This window comes from Homo sapiens, chromosome 12 (assembly GCF_000001405.40).
Source record: "Homo sapiens chromosome 12, GRCh38.p14 Primary Assembly".
Taxonomy (NCBI): domain Eukaryota; kingdom Metazoa; phylum Chordata; class Mammalia; order Primates; family Hominidae; genus Homo; species Homo sapiens.
Window position 1 is genome coordinate 113784032 of NC_000012.12, and position 8848 is coordinate 113792879.

Below are 8848 nucleotides of genomic sequence, written 5' to 3' on the forward strand. Positions count from 1 at the left end.
TGAATCTGCTTCCTCATCTGTAAAACAGAAACAGTTATAGATTGTAGGTTGTAGGGAAAACTGAATAAATTAACACGTGTAATGTGCTTAGAACAGTGCTGAGTACATAGAAAGGATAGAGGAAGAGCACTGGAATACACTCTTCCCAGACCCAGCACTTTAATCAGCCTAGCCTCTCTTTGTTTTACATATTGTGAATTGTTTAGGAAAATAGGTTTTCCTGCTTAACACAGCACACACACACACACATACACACACATTAGTTGTAAAGCTGCTAGCACTGGGGCTGAGCAAGGCTGTGGTTAGCAGACTAAGCTGGTGTACTCCCACTGTGTGACCTTGGATGAGTGACTTTACCTATCTGGGTCCCAGTTTTGCCATCTATAAAATGGGAATAATAATAGCATGGAGGGCTCTTGTGAGGAGTAACTTAGGTAAAGTGTGTAAAATAGACAGCAGTGCCTGACATACCATAAAGATTGCCCCCAAATAGTAGCTGTTGTTGTTATGAATTAGCTATGAACATGACTTTGCATTGAATGGATTAGAGGGGGTGTGTACTTATTCAGGGCCTAGAAGCAACTATGACCTCCCTCTTTCCCAACCCCTACTGTCACTTTGGGGTCAGAGATGGGCCTCATAGGGTTAGTGAAACCTCTGGAATTATGCGCATGCACACCGCTTTTGCATCCACTAAAAACCGTTTTCTTCTCAGGCAAAGATCTTTCTCTTTCATCAGATACTCAAAGTGGTCATTAACCCAAGAGAGTTAAGAACCCCTGAGGCTTAACACAGGCTCTCTGCTTCCTGCAAAGATCTGCTTTTCTGCTAAGGAGAAGCCAGAGTTTGAATCTCTAAGCAGTGTTCTGAGGACTCTTGATGGTCCCAGAAATCCTTCCAGGGAACCTGGGGGCCTCTCCCTTTCCCACCTCATATTTTTGTACAACTAGATTTTCTTCATATGCCTCAAGCAAAACAACAGGTCGCAAAAGTGGGTTTAAGAATCCAGGTGTTTCTGGGAGCGGTGGCTCATGCCTGTAACCTGAACACTTCGGGAGGCCGAGACAGGTGGATCACTTCAGCTCAGGAGTTCAAGACCAGCCTGGGCAACACGGTAAGAACTTGTCTCTACTAAAAATACAAAAAATTAGCCAGGTGTGGTGGCGTGTGCCTGTGGTCCCAGCTACTCAGAAGGCTGTAGTGGGAGGATCACTTGAGCCTGGGGGCGGAGGTTGCAGTGAGTAAGCTGAGATCATGCCACTGCACTCCAACCTGGGTGACAGAGTGAGATCCTGTCTCCAAAAAAAAAAAAAAGAAAGAAAAAGAAAAAGAAGAAAAAGAACCCAGGTGTTTTCTATTAAGTCAGACATTTGCAAAAATGTAGAACAATGCCACTCTGCAACCTCCGCCTCCTGGGTTCAAGCAATTCTCCTGCCTCAGCCTCCTGAGTAGCTGAGATTATAGGTGCGCACCACCACGTCTGGCTAATTTTTTGTATTTTTAGTAGAGATGGGGTTTCACCACGTTGGCCAGGATGGTCTCAAACTCCTAACCTCAGGTAATCTGCCCACCTCGGCCTCCCAAAGTGCTGGGATTACAGGTGTGAGCCACCGTGCCTGGCCCTCCTCATTAAATTTTTATTTTTAGAAAATTATTTGCTTTCTATAAATATGTTATATGTTAGTATATAATGACTTTATAATTATTATTTTAAAAATTAAGCCTTTTAAATGTCTCAGTTTTAATTTCTAAAACAGTAAATATGGATACACATAGCTTACATAAATAAAAGCTCTTTGAGATCCTCAATATTTTATGAGTGTAAAAGTGTCCTGAAACCCCAAAAGTTTGAGAACTGCTGTTCTTTGGAAACCTACCTGGTTGTGATAGAAGGAGCTGTGACACATCCAGCTCTAACCCAGGGCTTTGGCTATGGGGCATTCTGGGAGATGTGGTAGGCAAGGCAGGCTAGTGGCAGAAAAAGGGGTGGATTAAGGATCAGGCCAGCTGAACAGTAGCCAGAAACAGCCACCCGTAAGGGTCATAAAATCAGCAATGGATGTGTAATAATATGGAGAAAATAGTGTTTTGTCCAATTCCTCTCAGGAGAGTCTTGTATGAGGCTGTTACAGGGATAAGTAGTGAGATCCCCAAGAGGCTTTCTCAAGTAACAGTGATGATTGCTAAACTGCCCTGTAAGGACTGTGTACCTAGTAACTAACTGCAAGGCCATTCTTTGCTGAAGAGGTTATGCAAGTTTGGGTCCAGAACGGAATTGCTGCAGTTCCTGGAGGAGAGGCTGAACTTTGCCACCAGAGGACACTCTTTCTCGCCATCTCCCCTAGAAGCTCTCTGCTACCCCTTAAAACAGTGCAGAGCAAATACCTTTACTGGCTTTTACTTGAAGGGGCAGCAAGTTATTGGTTATACTGGGCAGAAAATGTGGGCTGATTGTAAAGAAGGAGCAAATGGAGAAGCAGGTGAAATCAGCAAAGAGGCAAATCAGGACTCCTGGGCAGGAAAGGGCTCCCTTATTCATCAAGAGTGAGTTTGTGGATCACTCTGTAAGACTCAAGACCCAAGGTGAAAACATGAACTCTCCCGTTAGGAAATGATGCTTGCTGAGAAATATCCTCAGGGGCCACAAGTAAGGTGAAAATCCCAAATCTGCTCGGAAAGGAGGCTGGAGATAGGAAAGGAGTTTCCTTGACCAACTAGCATGGATCATTTAATATGGAATGCTTTATCTTTAAGAAATAGATTCAAAAAATTCAAACCCAAGGCTGACTCACACAGAACCTGGCTGTCTTTGCAGGTTGGAGGTGAATAATCAAGATACCTGTCTGCCTTGTTAAAGAGGCTAAAATTCTTCTCCTTCCCTTCTGTCCCTAGTTTTCCCTGAACAAGCAGTGCAGTTACTGCCCACCTGAGGAAGTTCTGAATGCTCTTAAAAATGTTCTGGAATGCAGCTGTGAAGCCAGAGGTATTTCTTTCACAGATAAGCTCCGGGGCAGTTAGCCACAAGAGGGGCAAGTCATGCCAGGCTCTGCCAATGGGAAGGGCACAGGTTTTGGGATTGGGGGAGCTGTGGATGACTCCCAACTCTCAAATCTTACTTCTAGAACATCCCAGAACATTCCTGTGGTATGTTCTTGGTTCTGTCACTGAATCTCCATCAGCCAGGGTTCTGGGAGGGATGAAATGCTAATTGAGGGGGAGTTAAAGGAACAAATGTGTGGATGAGGTTAAGAGACATCAGAAAGGGGAGTGAAGCTACTTGGGACTGGCAGCAGTGAGGAGCCATTACACCTTGTTCCTATAAGGCAAGGTGAAGCAGAAGCTACTAGTGGTCCCCAGGGAGCTCATGATTTATTAATAGGGTCAATTTCACCCCGAAAAGGGGCAAAAATTGATTATTGGGAGGTGAAACAAATCTTACTCTGTATGTAGAAAGCAGAAATATACATACAGCACATAAACAGCAACACAGTATATCTGCAGTATTGTAATTTCATGGGGAGGATGAGTGATTAGAAAAAAGTCTAGAAAGTCTTCTTAGAGGGATGATCATTTTTAAAAAGCTTGGCTGAGTGTAGTGGCTCACACTTGTAATCCCAGCACTTTGGGAGACTGAGGCAGGCAGATTGCTTGAGCCCAGGAGTTTGAGACCAGCTGGGAAACAGGGAAACCCCCATCTCTGCAAAAAATAGAAAAATTAGCTGGGTGTGATGTCGCATGCCTGTGGTCTCAGCTACTCAGGAGGCTGAGGTGGGAGGATCACCGGAGCCCAGGAGGTCAAGGCTGCAGTGAGCTGTGATTGTGCCACTGTACTCCAGCCTGGGCAACAGAGTGAGACCCTGTGAAAGAAAGAAAGAAAGAAAGGAAAAGAAAGAAAGAAAGAGAAGGAAAGAAAGAAAGGAAGAGAGAGAAAGAGAAAGAAAGGAGAGAGAAAGAAGGAGAGAAAGAAATACAGAAAGAGAAAGAAAGAAGAAAGAAAGAAAGAGAGAGAAAGGAAGGAAGGAATGGGAAAGAAAGGAAGGAAGGAGGGAGAAAGAAGGAAAGAAAGAGAAAGAAAAAAGAGAAAAAAGAGAAAGAGGAGAAAGAAGGAAAGAAATACAGAAAGAGAAAGAAAGAAGAGAGAAAGGAGAAAGAAAGAAGAAAGAAAGAAAGAGAAAGAAAGGAAGGAAGGGGAAAGAAAGAAAGAGAGAAAGAAAGAAGAAAGAGAGAAATAAGGAAAGAAAGAAATACAGAAAGAGAAAGAAAGAAACAAAAAGAAAAAGAAAAGGAAAGAAAGGAAGGAAGGAAAGGAAAGGAAGGAAGGAAAGAAGGCCAGCCTCAGCCTCCCAAAGTGCTGGGATTACACGTGTGAGTCACCACGCCAGGCAAGGCATGGATGTTTTCCAAAAACTCCCTAGGGGATCTTGATATTTATCTAGGTCCGGTCTGAATCATATGATATGCTTTATAACTATTATCTACCCATACATGTGTACATTTCTATCCTTCCTATGTTTTTTAAACTGAGGTATAAATTAGATAATGTACACATGTTGATGAATTTTGATCTAGGTATACACTGTGTACCTATCACCCAGATTAAAATATAGAACGTTTCTCTTCCCCAAAGGTCATTGCTATCCTGTTACCACCTTCAGTTTTGCACGTTCTTGAACTTCAGGCCAGTGCTGCTGTGGATGCCAGTGGTTTCTTTTTCACTGCTGAGCTGTATTCTGTTGTGTGGATATACCACAATTTTATTATCCATCCTCTGTTGACAGGGTTGTTTCCAGTCTTTCACTACTGCAAATAATGCTGCTATGGACATTTGTATATAGATCCTTTGTCTATATTCTTATTTTAATGACATTTTATTCCTTTCTCCTTTCATGTTATACTCCATGTCCAATTTTCTTTTTTTTTTCACATCTGCAACATATTTATTTTTCAAAGGAATGGATTTTGAGAGAAAATAACATGGGGCAGAGATATGGAACAGAAAATAAATACAAGGCCCGGTGTGGTGCTCATGCCTGTAATCCCAGCACTCTGGGAGCCCAAGGCAGGCAGATCACTTGAGGCCAGGAGTTCGAGACCAGCCTGGGCAACATGGGGAAACCCCGTCTCCACTAAAAATACAAAAATTAGGTGGATGTGGTGGTGCACGCCTGTAATCCCAGCTACTCGAGAGGCTGAGGTAGGAGAATCACTTGAACCCAGGAGGCAGAGATTGTAGTGAGCCGAGATCATGCCACTGCACACTCCAGCCTGGGTAACAGAGTGGAACTCTGTCTAAAAAAAAAAAAAGAAAGAAAAGGAAAGAAATACAAATGTAGGCGGTTTTGCTAACTGTTTTATAACCATAACAAACTAGTTCAGTGACTGTCCTGTATAAAACACAATGAAGCTTCCAAGATCAAGGCTAAAAATTTCAGTCTCTGGTTTTTGGGACTCAGGGTGCAGTCCTTGATTTCGGATGGATCACTGGGTGCGTGGTACAGTCCATGCTTTTAACCAGATTTGAACAGAAGAGTGGCCACTTGGCCCAGGTAGAAACAGATGAAGCATTTGGTTTCATGTGTCACATAACTCCTGAAGTTCCTCCCCATGATGCAAGCCGCATGGGACTGGACTTCTTGTCAAATTCCTTCTTGATATGAGCTGGAATGTCCTTCTCTATATTCTATTTCTCTAGCGCCTGAGTAGTGCACTCCACCAAGTCCTGTTGCATCTCTTCCAAGATGTCAGCATTTTTTATTATGGCCTTTAGGTTGCACATGGTTACCTAGGGAGCAAGCAACCCTCCCACCTTGGCCTCCCAAAGTGCTGTGATTACAGGCATGAGCCACCATGCTCAGCTATGTCTGGAGTTTTCTAGCTGCAGAACGACCATGTCCTGGTTAAAATGCAGCTGGAAGCACATTCCCTAGAGGCAAATGTGGCATGTAGAATATCCTATATTATTTCTGGGACAGCTACCTTGACATCCATCTTTTATGATAATCCTTTGGTCTTAGATGATTCCAGCACATGAGGCAGTATGTGCACAGTAGGTAGATATTTCTTCAACAAATGTTTGTTGGTGTATTAGTCCATTCTCACACTGCTAATAAAGACATACCTGAGACTGGGTAATTTACAAAGGAAAGGGGTTTAATTGATTCACAGTTCAGTATGGCTGGGGAGGCCTCAGCAAACTCACAATCATGGAGGAAGGAGAAGCAAACATGTCCTTCTTCACATGGCAGTGGAGAGAAGAAGAATGAGTGCCTAGTGAAGAGGGAAACCCCTTATAAAACCATCAGATCTTGTGAGAACTAACTCAATATCATGAGAACAGATGGGGGAAATGGCCCCCATGATTTAAGTATCTCCACCTGGTCCCTCCCACAACACATGGGGGAACTAAAATTCAAGATGAAATTTGGGTGGGGACAAAGCCAAACTATATCAGTTGATTACAAGTCAATATGCCACACACTTAGGCAGAGAGCTGCGTATTTAGCATTTACACTATAGGGTGGATGCCTTCTCCTTGGGCATGATGGTTTCTCTTGGCCCAATTGGACCTTAACACTTGCTGGCATTAGATTAAGTGGACAGGATGGGGACTGCCCTGATGCCGGATTCTTGGAACCAAGGCTCACAGTTTCATCTCATCCCATGTCATTTGTTCTCTCAGCCTTCCATGATTTTGAGACCTTAACTCTGCTATCTAGAACCTGTGGCCATCCGTATGATTTACATTTCATTGCAGACTTTTACTTTACAAGAATTTACATGGGACTTGAGGGAACACAAAAAGCAAATAAACGTTCTTTTTTGTGTGTTTGTTTGTTTTCTAACACTGTATAATGAATCTGCACATCCCATAACTTTTCTTTCATATTCCACAAAAAGTTTATTGTCACAATATGCCTCAAATCCTGGAAGCCCAGGGGATAGCAGAGCTCATGTGGAAAGATGTTCTACTTTCCACTGTTGTTCACTTTCCATCATCTCCAGCCCTTCCCCATCCAGGCTCAATGGATACACAAATTAAACCCCAGCAAGCAGTCTTTCTGCAATGGTGCTGTCTGTCCACCAAACTTGCTTTTGGGTGAAATAAGGATCACATATAAAATGAGGATTCTTGGAACCAAGGTTCACAGTTTCATCTCATCCCATGTCATTTGTGCTCTTAGCCTTCCATGATTTTGAGACCTTAACTCTGTGCTATCTAGAACCTGTGGCCATCCGTATGATTTATATTTCATTGCAGACTTTTACTTTTCATGCCTATCTTGATTCATTTCATCTTAGCCCTTCCCCCAAAATATGGAACTTGAAGTGGAGATATTTAAGTAAGCAATAGATTCATTTTACCATCAGAGATGGCTCTTTCAAGCATGGTATCCATCTTAGAGTCTTAAGGCTGCTGCTTTTGAATTCAGACTCACCCATATTGTTATTCCCCCATCCACAGCCCCAAACCCTTACTCCACAGATCAACTCAAGAATGCATTTGAGAGCAAGCAACAGAAAAGCCAACTATGGCTTAAACAGATGGGAGCCGTTCTTCTTATATAATGAAGAGTCTGGAGGGAGGTGACTGGTGTGGATTAAATAGCTTGTTTGTCTTTGTGATTCTTTTTTTTGTTTGTTTTTTGAGACAGAGTCTCGCTCTGTTGCCCAGGCTGGAGTGTAGTGGTGCCATCTTGGCTCACTGCAACCTCTGCCTCCCAGGTTCAAGCGATTCTCATGCCTCAGCCTCCCGAGTAGCTGGGATTACAGATGTGTACCACCACGCCCTGCTAATTTTTGTATTTTTAGTAGAGATGAGGCTTCACCATGGTGGACAGGCTGGTCTCAAACTCCTGACCTTAAGTGATCCACCCATCTTGGCCTCCGAAAGTGCTGGGATTGCAGGCATGAGCCACCGAGCCCAGCTTCTGTCTTTATGATTCTATTGGCCTTTGCCTCAAGGTTGGGAAATAGCTGTCATGGCTCCAGACATCACATCTGCCTCTGTTAAAGAAAGACAGAAAGAAGGCAGGAAGGGAGAGGGCCTACAGTTTCACTATCATTTTAATTAGGAAAACAAAAACTTTTCTGGAAAGCTCCTAGCAGATTTCTGTTTTTGTTTTTTTTTTTTTTTTTTTTTTTTTTTTTTTTTTGATGGAGTCTTGCTCTGCTACCTACGCTGGAGTGCAGGAGTGCAGTGGCACGATCTCAGCTCACTGCAACCTCTGCCTTCCGGGTTCAAACGATTCTCCTGCCTCAGCCTGCCAAGTAGCTGAGATTACAGGCACCTGCCACTACTCCCAGGTAACTTTTTGTATTTTGAGTAGAGATGAGGTTTCACCATGTTGGCAGGCTGGTCTTGAACTCCTGACCAGCGATCCACCTACCTTGGCCTCCCAAAGTGCTGGGATTACAGGCGTGAGCAACGGCACCCAGCCAAATTTCTGTTTATGTCTGATTGGCTAGAACTCTGTCTTGGACACCCCCTAGCTGCCATCAGGGCTGAGAAATCAAGTGGAAGGCAGCACTGGTGAAGGGGATTAGAAATAACTGGTTATCCCACAGTGTCTGCCGTGTCCTGTTTTCACCCCATCTCCTGCAACTCTCTGTTGCGTCATTGAACCTTCCAGTTTCAATGAATGGCAAGCTCTCAACAGTTGCTTCTACGAGGCTAAATATCTCTCCAGTTCATTCCGCACATGGATTGTGTTCCAGAAACCTGGGCCAACTTTACATCCTCAAACACAAAGTCTCCCCGCTTCTGGACCTTTGAACTTTCTTTTCCCTCCACCCAACATACTGCTGGCCCCAGCTCCATTCTCAGCAAACATGGGTGGTATCTTCTTAA

The 8848-nt window shown here is 43.6% G+C and overlaps 1 pseudogene, besides 1 other annotated feature; it reads right to left on the reverse strand.

Annotated features, from left to right (window-relative positions):
• Nucleotides 490–1026: an enhancer, noted in NCBI's record as "NANOG hESC enhancer chr12:114222326-114222862 (GRCh37/hg19 assembly coordinates)". NCBI's record gives its function as "activates a minimal SCP1, AML or CMV promoter by ChIP-STARR-seq in naive H9 embryonic stem cells {active_cell/tissue: H9 hESC(naive)}" and the evidence as "EXISTENCE:reporter gene assay evidence [ECO:0000049][PMID:30033119]".
• On the reverse strand, nucleotides 5309–5794 carry DYNLL1P4 (dynein light chain LC8-type 1 pseudogene 4; annotated as a pseudogene).